The sequence below is a fragment of the Homo sapiens genome, chromosome 9 (genome assembly GCF_000001405.40).
Source record: "Homo sapiens chromosome 9, GRCh38.p14 Primary Assembly".
In the NCBI taxonomy this organism is placed as follows: domain Eukaryota; kingdom Metazoa; phylum Chordata; class Mammalia; order Primates; family Hominidae; genus Homo; species Homo sapiens.
The window spans coordinates 84,700,478-84,725,254 of record NC_000009.12 but is presented as its reverse complement, the minus strand read 5'-3'; the positions used below and the strand labels follow the sequence as shown (position 1 = coordinate 84,725,254).

Sequence of the window (24,777 nt, the reverse complement as noted above, 5' to 3'; positions counted from 1 at the left end):
TGAATGTGTGCTATGAGTGAGTGTTAACCAGCATATTGATACCAGCTATGGCCATGGGTCTACACGTGTGTAAGTCAGACATACACTTACACACATGCATGTTCATGTTTTTCTCATCCAAATTCTAATCCAAATAGAGTAAAACCTCATTAATTTATACCGTGCCAGCTCAGAATTTACAATGACGTGAAGTGTCTATATAGTTTTTACTGAATATACACCTTCATGCTAAAAGCCATAATTTGGAATTTCAAAATGTATATTGTATTAGTTACAATACTGAAAAACAATGTACTTATGTTTAATTAAAAAGAGGGATATCTTTGAACTTAGATTCAATGTATACAGAAATTTAAAACAATAATAATAAAAGTTTTCTACCGGTGATAATAATTTTCAGTAATTTAAGTAGGACTAATCCTACCTTCTCACAGAAACTTGATAACAAAAGAATGAGGTTTTATTTTATCAACAGTACAATTAGGCATTTGTGAACAGCTAGTAAATACTTTAGGTATCATAACTTTAAAGCATCATATTGCTTTTATAGAGGAAGAAAGTTTTAGAAACTGATTTACGAAAATTTAAGCTAAAACATTAACCAGAGGGAGCAACCAGCCCAAAGTATATTCTATCAGAAAAAAGACAGAGGAAGGCACAAAATGACAAGCTCAAAATCGAAAAAGAAGCTTAAAAGAAAAAACATGCATGAGCAAGAGTTATTAAGCAGAAATTGAACAGTAAAAGAGGCTGATAATGTTTCTTAATAGAGTATGCACAAAACACTGCATATACTTTTTTTAACAAATTTAAGCAGCACCCAGAGTGCCCCAGCAACAAACGTAGGTACGTCCATGATCATTTGCTATTAAAAACACATGCCAGTCTGATTACGTACAATGCACAGTGAGGTTGACAGAATCTTGATCTTCTCCTACAAGATTTTCCGCCACACAAGAGATCTGCTTCCCACTGTCATCGGATGAAATGTTAGTTATCCTTAAGGAGCCCTGTGTGTGGCTTGTTTCATTCTACAAATGAATTAACAGACAAAAATAACCTTGATTAGGATTGATCCCAAAGTGACAAGATTTGGGGTTTCTTCCCCTAACTAGAGAAAATATGTATATATAGCATTAGAAAAGCTTCTCTGCCTGAACTGGGCTCAGGCGAAGAAGTAAATCAGAAGTTATTCTATTTCTCTAGGTTTCAATTGCTAAGTGCATGAGGTTGACTTGATCCCTGAATTCCCTCCAAGGGAGAAGACCACAGGGAAAGTCACTCGCTTTGTTCAGGATGATACAAAGAGCTCACTAGGGATATAGAGACTCCTCGCTCTCTTAGGTATGCATAACTAAAATGCAAGCCTGCATTAGTCTTTATTAATTAAGAATAAGTAGAAAGTGAATGTACATCAAAAACTCTTTGTAAATTTCTATATGTAGCCTTATAAAATATCAAATGATCATCACTAGGTTTAATACATTCTCGCATTCTGAAACACTCTTGTCTCTCTATTAAGACACAGCCAAACACAAGCCTTACCATATGTTTGGAAACCAGGTTACCAACATCCCAATACATATTAGGAACCGGATCACCTGCCACACTACAGGATAATGTGATAGACTTTCCTTCCTCCACAGTGAGGTTAGGTGCGGCCAGATTTGCAGATGGCAAACCTATGGAACAAGAAAAGTAAACAGAGGCATATGCAAATAGTTAAATGCAGTATCAAAATAAAAGCAATAAATTGAAAACTGTTTATGCTTTAAAAATCAATCTTTAATTGCTTTTTGAGACTGATTTCTGTTGATCTGAAAAAGTGCTACTTTGATCAGCTTCATAGATCTAACATAAACCAAAAAAAGCTATAATTAGATTTCAAAATAAATTATGCACATTACTTAAAGCATTATTGCCGAATAACCTTTTATTTCAAGAACACTAGTATAAAGAACTGTCTTCCACCTCTTTTCCTGTTCTACAGTTACTAATCCAGTTTTTGCACATAAACAGAGATTGTACATAAGGACTGACATCATGTCTTTTATTTCCTCCTGTCTCCTACCCCCCATTTTTTACTAATGCTCAAGAACACAAAAGGGTGAGATGCACCTATTTTGTTTTTGCAAAAATCTGTTTTTTGCTTTAAGTAACTCTCACAAATCTAACCCTCTACCAGACACAGATTTTGAAAGACTCATTCTATTGAAGAAAATGTAGTTTCAAAGCATTTTTCAAAGACAAGCAGTTTGAACTATTGCAGTGTTAGAAAGTTTCAAAGTTATATAAATCATAGTTAAATATTATAGGTAAAATTGCTATCTTGTTTGGAATATAATGAAAATGGGTTGGACTCATTTCAGTGAAAAGTTCTTTTTATTGGAAAGACTCTGAGAATGTATTTATCAGATGAAACTTTGAACCTCATAAACATTTTTAATAGTCCAGCAAAGCATCATTTTTATACTTTTATATTTCAAAAGCTATGTGTAATTTTAGGGATGCTGCTATCACTTCATGAAATTATCACACCAACTGAGTGTGGACACTGCTTTAAACTGCATAAGAATCATGGTAATTTTTACACGTAGGCATGTCTTAGAGGGTATAACAATATGTCAGGACCTGCTAGTGGAGCCTGTCCCTCTCTTGGTGTCAGGAACTCTGCTTGGGACTATAGTCACCCGACAGCTATGTCTTGAAGAACTATGATACATCATTAACTCAGATCAGAACCTGGAGGTCAAAGAAGGCGATTCATTTTCAACAGCCGTTAAATTGCAATTAACCCACCCACCTGGCAATATCTGACCCTTCGTCTTCACATTATTATGGATAAACCTTTCTCTTATCATGTATTCTTACCGGCAAAGCCATCTTTCTTTATTAGTGAAATCAGACTGGAATAAGATTTGTACAGTCTATATTTCATGGTTATCCCACCACTGGGAGAGGATTCCCCAATAAGATCTGGCTTTCAGGGGCTAGTGAGACCCCCCCTTCCAAACTCTTCCTTCCCGTAAGCATCCAATAGAGACCAATGTTACATCTTTCATGGGGTTTCAAAAAAAAAAAAAAAAAAAAAAAAGCCCCTAATAGCCAGAGTTATACAGGGCAATGAAATATATAACAATGATTAACAGAGTGTAATACAAGCCCCACACCCTAAACCTGGCACATACTAACTTTGTGGCCTTAGATGAGTCTGTTGTTTTTCTCAATGTGTTTTCTTCACAACTTCTATGACAATTAAGCTGTTCAGTTTATTACAGAGCATGTCAAGGCAAAATAGAAGAAATGGGCTTACTTAGTGAAAAATCTCCTTGAAGTCAATGGCATAATCTGGGTGACTTTTAAAAATATGTATATACTTAATTTTGTTTTTCAAAAATCAAATATTTAGTCACAAGAGTTGATAATTCTATAAAAATTACGAAAAAGATTCAAGCTACTATGTGTGAAAAACAGTAGTCCCACCTTACCCATGTGGCACTATTTCCTGTTCCCTGAGGCACCCATTTCATCTCTTTTAACTTCTTCTTTTGGTATTGCTCTGCTCATCACTAAGTATCATTCTTTATTGCTACTTGTTGGTTTTCCTGTTTCAGCAGTATCTATTGACCTCCCACTGTGGAAGATGAAATATAGGCTCGCTTACACACAGAATGCCAGCCCTCCCCATGGCCCCCACCACATTCAACATACTCTGTCTTCACATTTTTTCATGTGCTGTAATTGTCTCAATGGAGACATAAAGATTATTATGAGTATGTGGCCGGGTGCAGTGGCTCACGCCTGTAATCCCAGCACTTTGGGAGGCCGAGGTGGGTGGATCACGAGGTCAGGAGATGGAGACCAGCCTAAACAACATAGTGAAACCCCATCTCTACTAAAAAATACAAAAAATTAGCCGTGCGCAGTGGCGGGTGCCTGTAATCCCAGCTACTTGGGAGGCTGAGGCAGGGGAATTGCTTGAACCCGGGAGGCGGAGCTTGCAGTGAGCCAAGCTCGCGCCATTGCACTTCAGCCTGGGCAACAGTGCAAGACTCCATCTCAAAAAAAAAAAAAAGATTATTATGAGTATTATGAGTATGCAAGCCTTACTAACACCAGAACCATCTAATATGCAATACTTACTTTATTTCATCAAATTTAAAATGGTATTAATTACAGGTTGCAACACCGTTATATGTACCACTATGAAAGGAAAAAAATGTGCCAATATAACTATAACACATGCTTTCTTACCACTTAGAACTATTGTTTGGAGGTTGGACCTTATAGATAGTCCATTTAATTCTCTAATCCTTTCCTATTTTCCAACTTTTCATTTATTTGCTCTATTTGCAAGGAGTTTTTTTAGATTAACCTTTAAAGCCCCCTTTTAAGGTTGTTCATTCCTCTGTCAATTTTTTATTCCCAAGGCCCTTCTTTTGTTCCTGAGTGTTCTTTTTTTATAGCACCCTCTTCTTGTTCCATGGATGCAATGTCTCTTACGATTTCTATCATATATTTATAATCATTTCTTGAATTTTTCTTTTCTCTATATCAGCTTTGTTTTTCGCATTTTTTTCCTCTCTTTCTCTCTTTGGTGCTTTTGTGTTTATCTTTCAATTATAAGCTTTCCTCAATTATGTCTGGCTATTCATACATCTTTAAGAATGGGGTACTAGAAACATCGCACAAATTTATGAATTGTCATCTTCATTGTAGGACAATATTATTGGCCAATTTACTAGGTACCACCTGATGTCAGGATCATGAAATCATTTTGAGGAAGGGGGTGGTCAAATTATTCAAATAATGCTCTTCCAATTTCCTGCTTGGAGGAGAAAGAGGTCTGGAAATATTAATATTCAGTATGTAAATCCATCATATTCTTTATGGTTCCCATGGCCTCACTCTATCTGTAGTTTCTCAGAACCTTTGTTTTATCCACTTTAGAGAATTAAGCCTCCGGTTTTCTGCTGAGGCAGGAGAGGTGCAGTCACCTGGGCTTAGCCGACTTTCAACCAATACAGTGTTTGGTGTTCCCTGTACTCTCACACTCTAAGCATTGTAGTAGTTCTGCCATATAAACCAAGTTTCCCCTTGGCTTTCTCCATTGTCAACTTGGTAACCAGTATTCTCACCCTTTAAGTCAGTTACTACTCAACCATCTGCTTTTTCAGCTTGCAAGTGTTTGTGCTTTGTTGACTCTCCCTCTCCCTTTTTTTTTTTTTTTTTTTTTTGAGATAGTCTTGCTCTGTCAACCAGGCTGGAGTGCAGTGGCACAATCTCTGCTCACTGCAACCTCTGCCTCCTGAGTTCAAGTGATTCTTGTGCCTCAGGCTCCTGAGTAGCTGGGATAATGGGCACACACCACCACCCCTGACTAATTTTTTGTATTTTTGGTAGAGATGCGGTTTCGCCACATTGCCCAGGCTGGTCTCAAACTCCTGAGCTCAGGCACTCGACCCGCCTCAGCCTCCCAAAGTGCTAGGATTATAGGTATGAGCCACCGTGCCCAGCCGACTCTTCCACTTTCTATATTTATAGATTTATCTGCTGACTCTGGGGTGACCATCAGAGTCAAGGCCCGTCATGGTGCTTGTTCTCAAGGTATGACCCCCTCCATAGCCAGACCCCACTGATGAAGCCTAAAGACACCCACCTTGGCATTTCAAGTACAAACCCATGGGATGAATTTCCTACCTTTATAAATGTATCTAATAGTTTGGAAATTCTGAGGAGAGAAAGGTTAAAATAAAGAGATTCTCAGTAGGAAATGTTATGTCATAATGTTAATTTTTCCTATAAAATCTAATGTGGGTTTTTTTTCAAACTCAAGCTTACATAATTAACAGCTCTAAAAGCATTTAATTATAGTGATACTAATATTATCATTTATTGAGCATTCACTGAACCAGATATTCTTGCCTAGTACCTTGTTTTATCTCATCCTTAGAACCAATCTTGAAGATAAGTATTTTGCCCTCATTTAATTAATGAAGTATATGAGTTTTGGAAAAGTCAAATACATTATTCAACATTGTCCGAGTACATATAGACCTAGAATTTGAACTCAAAGGTCAGGGTCTTCACCACTACCTCCCGAGCTGTACATATCCATTTCATCATGGACCATAAATACCACTGATAAAGTGGTATTTATGATTCCTTGATAAAGGAATTATTTCATTTAAAAATAATTACGTGTCTATTCTGTAGAAGAGTGAGTCTCCTTTATTTATAGAGAAATTGTATCACCCTGTCATCGCAGTTTCCAAAGGAATCTGAGCAAAATTGGCCAAGTCTTGATCTTTTAAATGTAAAGTCTTCCACAAATAAGTAAGCATCTGACTCATGTTAATTCTACAGCGTTAATATGCTGGCCAAAGATTCAATAATGGAAAAAACAATCTGTACTTGAAATACCACTCGAGGTTTAATTAGCACAATAAAAATGAATTGGGAAGCATGAATAGCCAAGGCAGGATCAACCATTTGCCAGGCACTACTTCTTGGCTTAACAAGATTTGAAATCAGCACAAGTACACAGCAAAGCCCAGCAACGTTTCCAAGAGCTGCTAGCTCTACTGTAAAAGGATCCTGACTCTAAGCCCTACAGCTGTCTTCCTTTGCACTCTGGGGAACCTCGCTGGAGATCGGAGATGACCAGCTTCTCAGGCAGACAGATACCTCTGCGTAAATGTCTCTTGATCTGGATTCCTTCAGGAAGGATGTACTGGCCTGTAGACCTCAGCAGAAAATCATCAACCAGGCAGTGAAAATGTTGACTTTCTTTACACCAAAGCTTCCCAAAGCTTTTCTTTACACCAAAGCTTACACACAAAGTTGTGTGTAAGAATATTCATACACACAACTCTATTGTGTGTATGAATCACCAGGGTATCTTGTTAAAGATGTAGCTTCTTTTCCAATATGTCTGAGTTGGGGCTTAAGAATTTGCATTTCTAGCAAACTCTCTGTTCCACAGAACACACTTGGAAGGACAGGGATTTAGACCATAAGTGTCGGGCAATTGTTCAAAGGGCTTTTGTTCCTACAACTATTATTCTTAAATCTGATATGGACCTGAGTTGTCCATCAAATTTTCCCCAAAGTGTGTCTTATAGAACTCTAATTTATTGAGATTCTAGAGGGAAAAAAATCCAAGATTACAAAAAAAAAGGAAGAAGAAAGAAGAGGAGGAAGAAGAGGAGGAAGAAGAGGAAGGGGAAGAGGAAGAAGAAGAAGGAGAAGGAGAAGGAGAAGGAGGCTCTGTAAGAAGCTCTGGATGTTCACAATGCACATTAGAAAATTAAAAGTTCTGAGAACTCCTGCTATAAAGAAATCCATTTGAATTCCATTGATCTTACATTCCCCAAGCAGATTTGAGTACATAATCAGTTCTTTGATTGTAATGTTTGTTGTGGCTTTATTTTCATTTCAAGCAATTTGACAAAATATAAGATATACATATATTTAAATTCAGATGTAAAATACATTTAAATCTAACTATTCTTGTTGATGATAGTAATAGCTATTATTTATTGGGTACTTAGTATGTGCTAGACTCTGTTTTAAATATTTTCCATTTATCACCTTATCAGTCATCCTAAATATCCTAGAAAGTAGGTGCCATTAATATTTCTATTTCCAGATGAAGAAGTTAAGGCTATCAAGTATTATGACTAAATAGCTAGTCAGTGGGGTTGGCCCTGGCCCACATCTGTCTGTCCAGGGCCTTAACCAGAGCATTCTGGCTGCCTCCTTTGCTGGGATCTTCCATGTCTCTGCTTCCACCTATTAGTGCATACTTCTTGAGAGTTGACCAAATTGACTAGGTGCTTCAATCACTCATTCAAAGTGTGTAGGCCCTCACTTTCTCTTAAGGAAAAACAAATCTCTAGTCATTTTGGATTAACCCAGTTTGGCAACAAATAAGATGGGTTAAGGTTGGGTTTTACTAACATTTTTTAGTAATCACCAGTAGGTCTTGCTTGTGTTTGTTTTCAGCTTGCTTCAGTGATCCTGAGCTCTGTTCATTTCATGTTGGGTCATCATTCCACATGTATAAAAGTATTCAAGTAAATTATAATGTTGTCTGTTCTCTGCCTTCTCTCCTCTCACTTCTATTTGTGCACACATAACAGAACTTAAAACAAATAAACACTTGACCTATCTCTTAATTCTCTCTCAACAGAATACTAAAACCCTATAACCTTCCCCTCTACCCTTCCACCTCCTTGTCATATCTTCCAAGTTCTTTGCCTCCTGAACAGCTATATTCCACAACCAGGAATGAAGTCAAAATGAGCCTGACCTATTTAGAAGTGATTGCTTTATACCTGGTAGGAAAAATGACAGAAAGTTAGCAAAATGACTTTGCAAGCTCAAATTTGAAACTGCACTTCTAAACACATGTGAGCCATGTCACAATAGTGACAGGTACTACATAACTTCTAAACACAAAAATTTAAACAGCAGTTGACAGATGAGAAAAAAACAACTTCATTTGACATTCTAAGAAGATAAAGAAAAACAACGATCCACTGTGTGGTTTGCTTGATTTGGGAGATAAAACCTGATCTCTAAGAAAATTAAACCAAAGCAGTACACTAAAATAGCCTTTGTGTGTGGTTTTCAGGAAAGAAAGCCAATCCAACTAAGTTGCTAAGAAAATAATGTTTCATATCACTCTAACTTCCACATAGAGCATTAATATAGCATATTCTTTTAATCTGGGAGTGTTAACAAAGTAGAATTACTACCAGTCTATTTTCTTGGTTCAACACGAACAAAAGAAGGAGTATGTACAAATATGCTACACAGACATATGTGCTACAAACTGTGGTTGAAACCAAAAGTAATTCTTAAAAATAAATCATTAAATTCAATTTATCTCAAGGAACCCGGCCTCTCCTCCTGGGCACCTGTGAACTGACCTTCACTATCATAAATAGTATTTTGTCGATGTGCCTTTAAAAGCTTCTACATTAAAAGTTGGAAGGTTGGAAAAGTGGAAAACTGAAATTGTCCTAATAAATAGGAAGGAAATCAAAGGCAAGTCTGATTTCAATCCATGGGACCATTAAGGATGGTTTATATAGTAACTGCACAGTTCTTCAACCAACAAGTGAATTGCCACCTTATATTCACTGTGGGACTATTATTCTGTGTGGTAACTAGTTACTAGTAAAATAGGTGCAGGGATTCTTTTGATATGACCCAGAGGAATACTGCCTTTCTTAAATGTATTTGCCATCAACTTAAGACAGAGCATTTCATGTACTATTAACACTTGCTGAAGAAGCTCTCAGATAAGATTTAAATAATAATGATAGTATTTTTTAAAATTAAAATATAACATCCACTTCTCCTTAATAATCCCATTATGCCAGGGGAGGTGACTGAAAGGTTTCTACTGCAAGACTAACTGCTGAAAATCATCTAAGTGTGCAGGAATTGAGCAGAAATTAAAAAGAAAATACTACGTGATAAATAATTTCATTAGAAACACTTGAAGAAGTAGCAGGGAGATTTTTTATACGAGATGATAATCAGCACAGCCTGGCCAAATCAGCTTTCTTCACCAGCACTTACATGATTCTGTTTCAGTCTTCAGAACCACTGCTCATAGCACCTCTCTATTCCAATTAATGTGGAAATGTTATATGAAAATGTTCTCTTGCCTTGCAATTAACAAAGTTTTTCTAAGGTTTAGAAGGGCCGTTTGAAGAAATGAACCACCACTTGTTTTACAGCATGAATAAATTTACAGTAATTCACAGCAGGAGGGGACTGTTAGAAAAATATTGTGAGGCATTTTGACTGCACTATTAATGAGAATGATGCAGTTAAGCTTCCCAGCCCCATCTATCATGCTCGATTAATCTCTAAGGATATAAAGAAAAAAGAAGAAATGAGACTCTCTCAAAAATGCCATCAAGATAAAAATTTCAAAAATAATGAAAAAATACTAAACTATAGAATAATTTGGCTAAAATAATGTATGTAAGTTATTTTTAATTAACTGAAACGTTCACACCATTATATTAAAAACCTGGTCCAATATGAACATTAATATGATATGGTTCATGCATTTGTTAATTCAGCAAACCTTCATCAAATGCCTGTTATGATCAAGGAGTACAGCAGGCACCATGGAATATGCATATTTGCATATAAAATGTAGAGAACTTGTTCTCCATATAATATCTCTATGATGAAATACTAACAAGGGAAACTTTTAAAGAAAACTCATCTTACAAACAAATAAAATCTCAGCAGCTCTTCTTTTTCATTGAAATAAAAATAGTACCAATTGCAAACTAAATACAATGGCCACAGTAGTTGGCAAATTGTTGGTTTACAAAGATGACACACACAAGACCATGGTCTTCACTGATTCAGAGTTAGCTAAAAAGTTTTACCCCCAAAAAAAGTGTGGAAATAAGATGAACTTCAAATCTGTGACTTAAACACAACAGATGTGTTTTTAAAGTATATGTAAAAGAAAAAGCCAGCTGACCATAAATTCATTTTTTTCAAACAAGACTTGAAGACTTATCTAACTTGAAGATATTGGCGTATTATTATCTGGTTTCTTCAACACAGAATTCCAGAGAATTTAAATCCAACATTCTAGTGTCATTTTCTGTCTAGATTATAACTTCTCCTGAAAGAACCAAAGTTGGGAAACCATCAAAAGAAAATTAATACATGACTAAGCCCCAAAGTGAAGGCTCCCTTTCTTATCCCAGATATCCAGAAGTGATACTCAATATTTTTCTTAAAACCCAGAACAAAGTTGGAAAGTGAGAAGGCACATCGCTGATGGAGAAGAAACTATAAAGAACTCCTAAGCGAGAGAAAGCAGAAGAGGATTAATGAAAAGCAGTACAGCCCCAAGTGGACACATAACCATGTGCTTCACAAAATAGTGAGGCTTTCAAAGGACCGAAAAGTAGAGGCAGGATTGCAGGACTCCCTGCTGATGTAGCAAACCCCGTATGGAGAAGGGCATTTCAGTCACAAAAAAAATGACTCACGAGAGATTGTGGAAATTGATCATCAGTGGTTGAAAGGAAAAAAAATCAGCAGCTGGAGAAACAGCTGAAAAGCTAAGTAATGAGCAAACCAATTCTCCCATAATGCGGTACACAAGGACAAGCAGATGGAAACTACTAAGGAAAAGGTGGCCAGCATGGGTGGAGCCAAAAGTGTAAATATCTATCCAATGTCGATTCCTGAATGAAAGAATAAATGGAAAGAATACATAGAGCAAATCAATAAGAAAAATTTTCCAGAACTGAAGACATGAACCCACACATTGAAAAGGTATCCCTCACAATAAGCAGAATTAAAAAAAAAAAAACCCACATCTAGTTACGTTGTGGTGAAATTTAAGAATAACATGGATAAGGAGTAAATTCTCAAAACCTCTAGAGGGGAAAAAATATAAAAAGCACAGTTTACCTAGAAAGAGCAAGCAACAGACTGACCTCAGACTTCTCATCAGCAACACTCAATACAAAAAGAATATGGTGCAATATCTTCAAAGTTCTCAGTTTTTGAGCCTATAATTTTTTACTCAGCAAATTCCACTGAGAAGAAAAAATACAGGCCAATTTCCCACCACCCAAGAACTTGATTTTATTTTTTTAATTTCTATGAAAGAAGTATTAGAAGATATACTCCAGCAAAAAGAACAATCACACCAAAAGAACACAGTAAGACACAAAAGTCTATGATATACAAAGAAATATGACATCTTCAAAAAAGCCAGGTAACAATACAAAAATAAAATCCCAGATGATAACAAACTGAGAGCTGGGAGGAGAAGTAAAGGGAAGCAAAAATATTTTTTCTGCCTTATTGGTGGTTATCTCTATGCAGAAAATACATATTTAAATTTGTGCAGAAAATATTTCAGTATTATAGACTTTTTTAAAAAGAGAATATTTATCACTTTCAAACAATTAAGAAAAAACAAAGAACAATGAAAGTAAAGAAACAGAAAAACCCTACAGAAAAATAGACAAAGGATATAAACAGGAAATTTACTGAAGCATAAACACAGTCCAATAAACATATAAGATACTCAATAGTAATCAGGAAAATGCAAACTCAAAAGCCATGACAGCAGTTTTTAGAAAGACAAACACTAACAAGTTTGCTAATATCAAGGTATACCTTGTTAGGGTGGGCATAAATAGATACAGCCATTTTTTCATGTGCAAACCACATAAACCAACAATTCTGCTTCTTTCTGTGTATTCTAGAAAAAACTTTGCACTTGTACATATGTGTAAAAAGCATGAATAAGGATGCTTGCTGAAACATTTTTGCAGTATTGAAAAAATGGAAAATAAGCAAAATGCTCGTCAATATGGAACACTTAATTAATTAAGACACATTGTATCATGAATTTCACGTAATGGTTAAAAAGAATATGACAGATCTATGACTACTGACCTGAAATGGTTAGGAGAAATGGTTAGGCAAGAAAAAGACAAACATCATATGTGTAATGTAGGAAATTACTTTTGCAACAAGACATATCAATATAATACATGCAATTATAAAAAGTAAAACACTTGAAAGAGAATAAAAATTAAAAGGGAAAGAACAAAACAGTTAAGAACACAAAAACGATAGGAAAAATAAGTCTGTCGATTCACTTGCCACACTCTTCTATAATGTTGCTTTTTGAAAAGCATCCTTGACATTGAAATGAATTGTGAATGTTACCGTGAATGTAACCATTCAGTCCTAATCGATCAATTGAGCCCATGCCCTCATTACAGTAGATTCAAAACCTCACTCTTAGACACACAATTCATTGACTAATTTGTAGAAAACAGAAATAAAAAATGACTGAAAATTGACAAACTGTTTAGGAAAAATGAGGACCAGTTCACTCCCTACACGTCCCCTATCCCAATCACAATGGCCGAGCAATAACACGTAAGGCGGGGTGCATTCCCGGAATGCTGCCAAGACAACACAACCAAAAATTACAATGGAAAAAAATGAAATTGGTTTCAGGCAAGGACAAAGCAGACGTCTGTTAAGAGGCAGTTTGTGAAATCAGAGCAAGAGTCAGATGCTTTCTCTCTTTTCCTCTCAGTGGTTGCTGAACCAATGTGGCCACAACTGCCATGGGGATTTGGGAGCTGGCCAAAAGGCCAGGTGACTCAACATTGAATTTCTTGTCCCTCTAGGCAATTTCTCTCAGCAGTACAAATTTGCACCAGAACAGAGAACAGTTACCCTCTTATCAATCAGGAAAAGACACATATTAAAAGTTTTTTTATTTTTTAAGTGTTAGCTAGCAAAGAAAACTGACAGAGGTTGGCAAGAGAATAAAGCCTTATTCCCCCATTATGAAACCAAAGGACTCTATTTGTGACAGAAAAATCTGTGGGAAGGGTCAGGGCCGTCTTCTAAGGTCATTCAGGGTAAGAAACAGACTCATATCTTTATTTTTATCGCATTCCTACAAAGCGTGTGCAGCAGCTCCATTTTTCTTAAATAAAAAATAGACCTCAAATAATAGCGTCTTCCGAAAACAAAGAATCGGTTGTTTGTGATTAATACACAGATTCCTTGTGCACAAGAACCAGGTGCTACATGGCTTTCTGCTGTGTCACCAGCCACTAGGCCAGAAGATCAAACATAATTGTTTGTGAACTTGTTAACTGGTTGACTAACCGATTCAAATGTCAATGGGGTAGTAACATGCATGTGTGGGTATTGTAGAGGTACATCACTGAAGACTAGTAAAATCCTAAGCAGAACACTTTGCTATTCCTTCCTTATAACTCACTAGCACTCACATGAGCTCTGATTTTGCCATTCGGTGCCCTTTTAAATGTTGGAGATGAAAACGCTGGGAAGAGGAATAGGGGATGACGGTAAAGTAGGAGATCTTAAATCCAGACATGGGGAGAAGCACGTGGCATGGCAGACTTGGGGCACCCCATCAAGAGACACAGACCTCTGGCAGTAAGACAAGTTTAAGGGAATGTGCTGGATTGAATTGGATTTGCTTGTGCTGCCAGGACACTTTCATCACCCTGAGATCCTTGGCCTGGGTGCCATCCAAGGGTATATGTGGCCAGAGAAGTGCCACACTTTTAGCAGATAGTTTTTGCACAGATGGATGGGTGGATAAATGGATGGATGGATAGATGGAAAAACAAATATGAACAAATAAGCAAATGAACAAACAAACAAAAAGAATAAGCAGTGTACTTTTTCTCTATGCACTTTACAGCCATCCACTCTGAATTAATATTCTACTTGCAAAGATTACTCCACACTGCACATAAATGTTGTCTGAGTCACTGGAGACATCAACAGAATACTATATACAATCCAGGTAGTGGTAATTTTCCCAGACTACCGCACCAAGGCAATGAGAATAATTAATAGCAACTAGAACACATTGATTTAAAAATAAATTACCACAATTGGGTATCTGCAGGTTTGCCAGGGGAATATTCTTGCTGCTTTCATTCAGGCAGTACAAATCCTGAGTGTCTGGACTGGATTTAGCCTCTTGGAGAGTCTTGATCCACATAATGTCACAGGAGCATGTAAATGGATTGCCCACCAGGATCCTACAGGGAACAAAAATGACAACAGATCAAGTTCCTTTTTCCATTTTAGCTACATTAGTGCTTGTAAAATACTACAACATTATGAATTCTTTCTAGCCAGCAATGCTTGGAAGTCATACCACTTTCATAGCATGACAGTACTTATTATTCCTTCATTTATCTGATACTTACGGAGCATCTCCTATATGCAGACAGCACTGGAGAATGATAGAAGACCTTACAGAATAACAGGGGAAACAAGATAGAGACAGAAATAGCCAAAATATAGGATAGAAAAGAACATCTCATAACATGGGGAAAATAAGGTGCCATGACAAATTTATCATGGTTATTATAGAGTTATTAAAAGGATGCCAACAAGAAGTTTTCAGGAATGCTAACATACTTATTTCTGACCAGGCTAAAGGCTCAAGTGTTACCACTTTCTAAGCTCAAACTTCAGCAGGGGGCAGAACAATTTCATCTCAATTTAAAATGAGACTGTAAGTACAAAGCTAAGACTAAATTGTGAATGCCAGAAGGCTGGCACCCCTAGCTTTCTGCATTATACAATCACAGTCAGTTTCATTGATTCAAGATAGCTGGAGTAAAGGTGAGAGAGAGAACCTGAAAGGAAGCTGTAGACCTCCTTCACACACACACACACACACACACACACACACACACACACACACAGAGCAAGCTATTCTGAGGGCAAGGCAACTGAGCTGCAGATTGAGCTGCGTTAGACCACTGTGGGTGGAAAGCCACCGCCATTCAGACCTCAGCCATGCTGCCTGGACTCCTGTGGCCTGCAATGGGTAAAAGAGGAAGTAGTCAAGAGGAAAATAAAAACCACAAGGAAAAAAAAATCTTTAAATGCTTATTTGTAATACTCAGTGGCCTATTTAAGATGAATTCCATTTATGGTAATGAGCCTTTAAATGAGGCCATTTAAAATCGTTACATAGACTCTGCCTGGCATTAACCACAATACTTAAGATTTCCGTGAAGACAGGACCTGGGCTTTGCAACATCATTTACTCCTGTGGTTTTCTGGTTGGGTTCTAAGAATCTCAGGGATCCCTGGAGACTTTTCCAGGAGTTTCTTAGGGGAAAATGTGGTCATGGTAGACTCATTTAATTTGTGTCTGCTTGATCGCCTCCAAGTATCCCTCCAACACCAAAATGGGATTTGATGTTATGAGATATGGAATAGAATGCAGAAAAGACCCACCACCAGTTTAAACCCCACTAATCCAAAATGCTTCCTGGAGCTCTGAGTACATGCAAAACTAAAGAGTCTTTCTAAAAGAAGATATCATTAACTCAGCAGAAGGGATAAAGAAGGAAAGGAATGCTTCAATTATGAATACAGCAATGTTCATATGACAACACAACACTGGTGCACAGCTGGCTTCTTTCTCCAGCTTACTATGCAAGCTCGATGATTATGACAGCACATTACACTTTTATCTTTAGGTTTCTACTTCTCCCACTGGATAACAGAATCCAGGAACATAGAAACTTTTCTCCCTTTATCCCCATGGCCCTGTGCCATATCATTTTGATTTGTAATAGGTACACAATTAACATTTGTTGAATTAATTGATTAAATATGCTTCAAGAAGAATATTGAGACATAAATTTGAAATTGAAACTCTAATTTTTAATCCAGCAAGAAAATTTTACACAATGTTGCCCAAAATTTTTACACCAAGTACTTTACCCTATCTCATGTATCTTCCTTTAGTTTGTCATGCCTATTCCTGTGTTAGAAGCATTAGTGCTTCAACGTCCTGAATTCACTTTATTCCAAATAATTCTCAATTGCCAAGACTTTCACCATATAACACCCATTACACCTATTAACTTGTTGTCTCTCCAGCAGTGACATCTTCCAATCTGCACAATTTCCTTGTGAATAAGGATGGATCTTCATAAAAAGACTCCACAATTCAGGCAAGATAGAGTTTAAGCAAATGCCATTGCCTAATCTTCAAAGGCCTCTTCCTGGGCCCACATCTGCCCCACAAAGCCTCTGCATTAGGATGCTTTGAGGTGCCTTACCATAAGAATAGCAACAGTTCATATTTGTTTAATGGGGACAATGCAAGGAATGGAGCTCACTTGGAAATCCTGGCTGTTAGTCATCAACACCTTTCAATACGTTTTCTATCATTTTACAACAGAAGAAAATGGGACTTAAAAATAAATATTGAATGCAATAACAGATCTGGAAGAAAATCTCACAAAGATGGGTGGGGAGAGAGAACAACTACCTCTCCTCCAATGTCCCCTATCCTTAAGATGGACAAAAGTGAGCAGAGTTTTGCCCATTTTTATTTCCTCCTTGAATGGGTTTGCTTGACTTTAGGGCCTGGATCCAACAGGAACCAAACCAGAGCTGTGAGATATAAAGCATACAGCCGTTTTCACACAAAGCCCCCTTCTTTTTCTCTTTTTTCCCTGTACCAGAAATTATTTATGTAAAATCAACATTTAAATGAATCAGAAATGATATGTCACTACTGAGATTTCTATTTTTTTTAATTACTGAATTTTAAAAATGAGAGATAATAAACCTTGAAGGAATAAAAGACTGAGAGACTGAAACTTGAGAAATCATTTTTTGAGAATTTGGTATAAAAATAGATCTGCAACATCACTCATTAAAAGAAAAATACTTAATTACCCCTTCCTTTGAAAACATTTCCCCAAATGCCACACAAAATCATTACTTACAGTTCAGACAAGTCAAGGTGACGGAAATGTTTCCTAGACAAACTCGTCAGTTTGTTTCGGGTAAAATTGCTGAAAGGAATCAAAAACATTAAACATGAATTTAAAATGTTACATTTTAGGAACACAGTATTCAAATAGAGATTTGTTTTTCAAAATATAATTTTATTTGATCATTATATAAGCTTTACTTACATCCAGATCTCTCTCTCTTTCACTTAGAGTGATAGCTGAGTTTTTCCTCTAACCTTGTCTATAATTTTTTCTTTGCTGGGAGGGGTAGCATAAATATATTGTGTATTTTTAATGTCTTTTTCACCCAAAAGCTTACTTTTCATATGTTGATTTGGAGCCAAGTTATATATCTTATAGAAACCCTGATCTTTTGAACAATTAATAGGAGGATATGTAAGATTAAATAAAATTTAAAACTATAAACCCAGTAGGGAAAAAATATGCCTTAAAACTAAAGAGCATCATGGATATTTTGAAATTATGTGGCATACAAAACTCTGAATATTAACTGAATTCAATACGTCTTTATAGGAAAGACATTTTATTGATAAAAAAAACTCTACTGAGATTGTTTACATATGATCTAAATAACCGCATACCTCCACGATGAGAACAAACAAAAATTAGGTAACAAGGAATATGTCAGATTTCATCTTGAACCATTCTAGTGACATACCATCTTCAGATTTAGACCAACCAGACAATAAAAAGATATATTTGTGACTAAAAAAAATAATAATTTACTGACATGTTCCAAACATGTAATTTGATTCTATAAAAGAGTTTCCAATGATCAGTGTCATGAGATTTTGGGGTAGGAAACTCAGAGCCATAACCCTGGCAGCCGACTCACTCTGCGAATTTGTTTACTGTTTAAATTTATTTAAAGAGTATCCGATGCTTGGGCCTCAAGATGTGTTTAATAAATAAAATGAATGTAAAATAAACATCAACTTTCATAAAAACAGCCAAGACCTCTACAAACCGGAGGAAGTCAATGAGACTTTCAGTGTGTGTTTCCTGCCGAGGAAGGCAAGTGTTGGGTTGAGAGTTGGATAAAACATGAGATCTGGCCAGGTGCGGTGGCTCACGCCTGTAATCCCAGCACTTTGGGAGGCCGAGGTGGGTGGATCATGAGGTCAGGAGATCGAGACCATCCTGGCTAACACAGTGAAACCCCGTCTCCACTAAAAAAAATACTAAAAATTAGCCAGGCGGTGGCGGGCACCTGTAGTCCCAACTACTGGGGAGGCTGAGGCAGGAGAATGGCATGAACCCGGGAGGCAGAGCTTGCAGTGAGCAGAGATTGTGCCACTGCACTCCAGCCTGGGTGACAGAGCAAGACTCCGTCTCAAAAAAAAAAAAAAAAAAAACAAAAACAAAAAATAACACACATGAGATCTGAGGGTGACAGTGATCCTGGCCCCTCACCTGAGGCTACTCTTTGCCGTCAGCCCAAGGAAGTCATCACTGAAGTATCCTAGTGTGTTTGATCAGTCACACAGTCCTGGCATTACAACCAGGAGCTAAAGCATGAACTAAGGCTAGTCAGTTGATAAGAAAGAACCTACCACTCTGGTGTCTCACAAATCATGAATGTGTGTGTCCACTCCCAGCTTAATTCTATATTAAGATCTCCACTCATCCAAACCCCTACCTACACAGGGTACCGTCCTTCCTCCTAGGCGTGCATCTTCTCTCTTCACACTGAGTATAAAGTGCTCACCCACATGAAAAATAATCCACCAGGAAGTTGTAAAATGTGCCCACATAGGTCTCTTCTTTTGGAACGTGAATTAAGAATGGGTTTTGGCCGGGTGCAGTGGCTCACACCTGTAATCCCAGCACTTTGGGAAGCTAAGGCTGTTGGATCACCCGAGGTTGGGAGTTTGAGACCAGCCTGGCCAACATGGTGAAACCCCGTCTCTACTAAAAACACAAAAATTCACCTGGTGTGGTGGCGCCTGCCTGTAATCTCAGCTACTTGGGAGGCTGAGGCAGGAGAATTGCTGGAACCCGGGAGGCAGAGGTTGCAGTGAGCCAAGATGGCGCCATTGCACTCCAGCCTGGGCGACAACAGCAAGACTCCTTCTTTAAAAAAAAAAAAAAAAAAAAAAAGAATGGGTTTCACTGGTATACAATGCATTGAAAAGTCAGTCTGCCTATCTTCCACAGTTTCTAAGGCACAATGCTTTCATCTTCATCAGAAGTCCCAATCTTTCTAAAACAAACAAACGAAAAACCAAAAACCTGCTTTCCTCCTCAAGAAAAAGGCAGAGAGAGGCAGCAAAGAAAGAGGAGGCTTAGGGTGAAGGGTCTCCCTGTCTGCTGGTAAAACCGCCGCCCCGCAGAGCTGCTGCCTCTGTGGGGCTGCCAGCAGCACCGCAAAGAGCGGGGTTACCGGCCAAAGAACAAGATGAGTTTTATGAGCCATACTTATTATTGGGGCCAAAAGCCAAAATGGAGGAAGAGGGGAGGGAAAAAAATCAACAATCCTCTTACTGTTTGATTATAGAGCTTTGCAAGGGAGCTAATTAGCACCTCTGCAAAGTCCCTGGAAAACACAAATACCAGCTTTTCTCACAGTCCCTGGGCTCTAAGGGGCTGGGCAGGAATTAAAGGCATCAAGAAATAACGCAGTGACCAGTCTCTGGGGCTCTGGGCAGTCCCCATGTGATGCTCACATGGACAGGGTAGGGGGAGAAGTGGTGAAAGTGAGAGAGAGGATCCCATTTAAATTTCCCTAAAACCCGAAGTGAAATAGACTGATCTTGTATGCATTTTTATATTGCTGGGGAAACTCAGAGAGATCATCAGTATATCCCAGGGGTAGAGAGAAACAGCTTTTAATACATATTTTGTTATCAGCTCCCTTGCACCCCACTGCGTTGATATTTGAGGGAAGAGTGCAATTTGCATGTGGAAAATCAGGGGACCACCAACCAAGCTGTTCCCCAGAGTCCTCCATCACAAGCAGAGGTTAGGTCTAAGATCCGGAAAGGCAGACACCTGACTTAATTCCTTCCTTCCTCCCTACTGTTCTCAAAAGCAAACTACTTAATTTAATTTCAGATTTTGGTGATTAAGAGCCTCTTTTGTCCTGTGACTATATGAAGCTTACTGCCATCTGATGACCTCTTCATAACTGCCTGGCACTTGCCTATTTCTCTCTGTCTTACTATTCAATAAATGGCTATAAATATTAGTAGCATTTTTGCAATTTGATCAATGATTGACATCCCAACAATTGCTTCTTCAGAAAACTGTAAGATATGTATGTCCCTTTAGCTTCCCATTTTAAAATAATTCTTCTCTGAAAGCTAGGGAGAGATATTTGACTTTATATAAGCTGTGTACTGCACAAAGAATACCACCGGCCAGGCGTAGTGGCTCAAGCCTGTAATACCAGCACTTTGGGAGGCCGAGGTGGGCAGATCACAAGGTCAGGAGATCGAGACCATCCTGGCTAATGCGGTGAAACCCAATCTCTACTAAAAAAAAAAAATTAGCCTGGCGTGGTGGCAGGTGCCTGTAGTCCCAGCTACTGGAGAGGCTGAGGCAGGAGAATGGCATGAACCCAGGAGGCGGAGCTTGCAGTGAGCCGAGATCGAGCCACTGCACTCCAGCCTGGGTGACAGAGCGAGACTCCATCTCAAAAAAAAAAAAAAAAAAAAAGAATACCACCAAAATCACCGTCATATATCAACATGAAAAAATATACAAAGTGGCTTTCATATTCATAGAAATAGCATGCAATAATGAAAATATACAAAGTAAAGTAATCAGTAAGTCTATTAATAAAACTATAATTAGCCAGAGCCCACTGTCCAAATCACAACATTAGGAGAAGTGATGTGATAAAAGAGCCAGTAAAATGCAGTTGTTGAGTAATTTGGGTCTAAGGTCAACTGTAATGAAAATACCAGAACTTAACCACTGAGGTCATTAATTACATCTAAGTGACTGCATTAGAGCATTTTGCCTTTTTCTTCTATCCAACTTCTCTCTTGTTTATGCTATCAAGGCCTATGCAGCCATCAGATTTGTGCAGGCAAAGATTTGTGCAGACTGCAAAAATGATTCCAAAAAGCATTTAATTGAAATGTGTTAATAAAGTTCCCTGGAGTTTTATCACATTTTTGTAGAATGTTTTATGTCTTAATTTACAGACTTTATTTTTAAAGTGACTTCATCATTAATGCCACCTATAAAATATGAAGCTATGATATTGGCTTTATGAAATTAATATTTTCCATAATATCAACAAATTTCAATAGAGTGTCCAGGCAATCTGCTTCTAAGAGAATGGTTTCTTTTATAACTGGCATGGAAATCAGTTGGGGAACTGTTCTCCTCAAAAAAAAAGAAAGAGGACGAACCTTATAAGAAAGTCTGATTCTCTAAGGATGATACAGATTTTATTTCCTGTGCTCTTATTGTAAGAACATGGAGAGGGGTTGGCCCTGGAGTCATAACTCTGCTACTTACGATCTATGAATCTGAGCAAGTCCTAGAACTCTCTCACTCTTATTTTATCTATGAAATGTGCATAAAAAAGATCTGTCCTACCAATTGTCAGAAAAAAATCATGTGAAATAATCCAGGTGAGGGTCCCACAGATAGACTATGACATGTAAGGTATCACTGCAAAGAGAATTTGGTACAGCAAAACAGAATCAATAAATGCAGGCAACAACCTTCTGGCAGAAGTTCCACTAAAAACTCAGGGGATGGGAGTACAAGTCTGAGCTCAGTGATGCATAAATATTCTGCACTTAGGTGATCTTTAGTTTAATGAAGACAACTCTCAGGAAAGCCACACCTTATGGACTTAAATGCCATCATCTAGAGGATTTAGCAACAAACAAGCTAACAGTTCCCATTTTCCATATTTCCGTTTGACTTCAGTGGACAAAGCATCAACAAGACTTTGGGGAAATATTTCCCATTGTTAATAATTTTCTGTACCTTTGGCATGTCCCATGATTGATTTTTCTCTACCTTTATCAAACCATGACAGACGGCTTTGGGAAAATGAAGGTTCAAAAGAGAATCCTATTGTGAGGGGAAAAGCACCAGTAATTTTTATTTCCCTATAAAGGCCAAGGCCAAGTCAGCTTCTTTCGATTCCACTAGTTTGATGTCTTCCAGGGAGTATGTCATTATTCCAAGGAAGAAAATCAAGAACTCTGTGCAAGGACACAGTTTTCACATCAGACTCCTTGCTGCTAGCCTATTGCTCTGTCCAAGATGGAACTGGCCCAGAAATTCATGAAAGGGAATAAACAGCCTGTTCTAAGTACCCCTCTGAAGCTATTCAAAAAATCAAACAAAATCAGAGCTAATGTTTCTAAGCTATTATCACAGCTATACTAACTTTAAAAAGGGAGGTTTCAAGTTGGAAAAGAAGGAAAATAAACAGAGGGGGGAAATATTGAATAAAATGGGTCCTGGGAAGCAAAAGAATCAATCTCTACTTACATGTGCTGCAGGTTGCTGTTTTTCAGAAATGCTTTATGAGCCACAAATTTTAATCCAGAATCCACAATTGTCCTGTGAAAACACATAATTTCATGCACATTAGAACGAACCAGTGAATGCCTGCCTGACCAGAGCAGACAACAGGAAAATTCTCTGAGATAATGTGCCCTGGTCCTGAGTACTCACAGATTTCTCAGTCCCACATAAGCTTCAACATCATCTTCGTTGATGATTTCTAACCTTTTCTGGTTTGCGATGAAACTGTAACAAAGCAGAGAGTGAATCGCAGTGACTCAGAATGTAGGCAGCAGCACCATGAAGAACTCCCATCCACCTCACCCAGGTGTCCAAGGTGCTCCCTCCACACCACTCTGAGCCTTGCCATTTTTTTAAATACAGCAGTAGAGCAAAACTGAGCATGACTGAGCAGAAACCATGACTGACCAGGTTTCATGGTCAATAACCCTTGCACTGGGTTTCATTTCTCCTCGTGTTTCATCACTCTTTCACCCAACAATTTCACTTTTCTTTCCCTTTTGGAGTATCACCAGTGTACATATGTGAAAACACCGTGGAAATGCATCTACTCCTCTCAAAGGTGTTTCCACTCTTACGGTGAGAGCCACAGAGATGCTGCTGTCATCACTGCACAAGAAAAGTCACATATTTCCCCACATTTCAAGAGAGACAGCCACTCCCTCCTTTACCTCCTAAAATACTAAGGTGCGTTTTCCCTACCCCTTCCTCTTTTCTCTCTATTTTCCTGGCCCAGCATCTCCTCCTTCTGCCTTTGTCAGTAACAGTATCAATCTTTCCTTTGATGAACCACATTTCACAAACCCCATATGGCCTTAGCGCATTCTCCGTGGGAACCTCCTCCCTCCCCCACCCCCTAAGCCCTCCAATATAGGGGTGAATAGAGAGAAAACTCCATCCCTTTGCCCACATTGGTGGGCTTAGAGATGTGCACATGATCTCAATTACACTAAGAGGAGTCTTCCCCGAGATTAAATAAATGAATGCTGGGGAAGAGAGAGTCTCTGTCTTACTCTGGGATCATAGCTGAAGGATGGCACAGGCCTGGGGCTTCCATGGGGAAATTTTCTGCTACAAGGAAATAGACTGTCCAAGAATGAAGTCAGTCCACAGAAAGAAGCAGAGCTAAAGAGACAGAACTCTAAAAATACCACTTGAGCCTTTAGATACAACTGTCTCTCAGGCTAGATGTCACTAACCTAAGTTAATCTTAAGTTCTATCATTTGCAATCAGTAAAGTCCCTAGTGATCCAAACAAATAACTATTAAAACCATCATCATGGAATTTCCTATACTCTACCCTGTACTACAGTTATTTAAGTACCTGTCTATTCAGTTTTCTTAGATCACAATGTCTTTGAGATAGCTAGATCTGTTTTATAATTCTTAATATGCATCACAGCACCTGGCTCAGTACCCAGTACAAGGTAGGTACTCAAAGGATGGATGGATGGATGGATGGACGGATGGATGGACAGATGGAGAAAAGATGAACTGCACTTGGAGTTACAAAGGCATTACAAGAAATTATGCCAGGAGGAAATCTCCCCTTTCTTTTTGAAAAAATTTAAGATATATAACATATTCCAATTAAGACACTGAAAACAAATATGCAGCCCTGCTGTTAACAATGTGAGTTAAAATGAAAAAAATATTAAATGATGGGGAGGAACACACAGCATCTATAGGTCCCCCACTGTGTGAAAGAAAATGATGACAAGCTGTATAGTAAGGGTTTGGGCACCTCTTTTTAGAAAATAAATTTTAAAAATAAAAATCAGTAGATTCTCTGAGAAGACAAAATTACACCAAAGAGAAATACTTTTAAAAGCATCCACACAAACATTGTCCCCTGTTACATAAAAAACCAGCCTCCAAGATAGAACGGCGGCTTCTTCTGAAAAAA

The 24,777-nt window shown here is 37.9% G+C and overlaps 1 protein-coding gene across 38 annotated transcripts in view, besides 4 other annotated features; it reads right to left on the bottom strand.

Moving 5' to 3' along the window:
• NTRK2 (neurotrophic receptor tyrosine kinase 2) overlaps positions 1 to 24,777 on the bottom strand; it is a 358,533-nt gene that overhangs the window by 301,800 nt on the left and 31,956 nt on the right. For 36 of the 38 annotated variants that reach the window (XM_017014751.3, XM_017014753.3, XM_047423432.1 and 33 more), the window contains 6 exons: positions 23,022 to 23,096; positions 22,836 to 22,907; positions 17,343 to 17,411; positions 14,464 to 14,618; positions 1,546 to 1,682; positions 899 to 1,031 (listed from right to left, as the gene is read on the bottom strand). In XM_017014751.3, coding sequence (XP_016870240.1) covers positions 899 to 1,031; positions 1,546 to 1,682; positions 14,464 to 14,618; positions 17,343 to 17,411; positions 22,836 to 22,907; positions 23,022 to 23,096 — 641 coding nt within the window. Of the gene's footprint in view, positions 1 to 898; positions 1,032 to 1,545; positions 1,683 to 14,463; positions 14,619 to 17,342; positions 17,412 to 19,015; positions 19,355 to 22,835; positions 22,908 to 23,021; positions 23,097 to 23,542; positions 23,651 to 24,777 lie in introns of those variants that run through there. The other 2 variants (NM_001369551.1, NM_001369552.1) reach the window with 2 other exon arrangements.
• Positions 15,483 to 15,542: an enhancer, noted in NCBI's record as "active region_28509". NCBI's record gives its function as "activates an Ori minimal core promoter by ATAC-STARR-seq in GM12878 lymphoblastoid cells {active_cell/tissue: GM12878}" and the evidence as "EXISTENCE:reporter gene assay evidence [ECO:0000049][PMID:35858748]".
• Positions 16,156 to 17,074: an enhancer, noted in NCBI's record as "OCT4-NANOG hESC enhancer chr9:87323096-87324014 (GRCh37/hg19 assembly coordinates)". NCBI's record gives its function as "activates a minimal SCP1, AML or CMV promoter by ChIP-STARR-seq in naive and primed H9 embryonic stem cells {active_cell/tissue: H9 hESC(naive and primed)}" and the evidence as "EXISTENCE:reporter gene assay evidence [ECO:0000049][PMID:30033119]".
• Positions 23,038 to 23,127: an enhancer, noted in NCBI's record as "active region_28508". NCBI's record gives its function as "activates an Ori minimal core promoter by ATAC-STARR-seq in GM12878 lymphoblastoid cells {active_cell/tissue: GM12878}" and the evidence as "EXISTENCE:reporter gene assay evidence [ECO:0000049][PMID:35858748]".
• Positions 23,438 to 23,517: an enhancer, noted in NCBI's record as "active region_28507". NCBI's record gives its function as "activates an Ori minimal core promoter by ATAC-STARR-seq in GM12878 lymphoblastoid cells {active_cell/tissue: GM12878}" and the evidence as "EXISTENCE:reporter gene assay evidence [ECO:0000049][PMID:35858748]".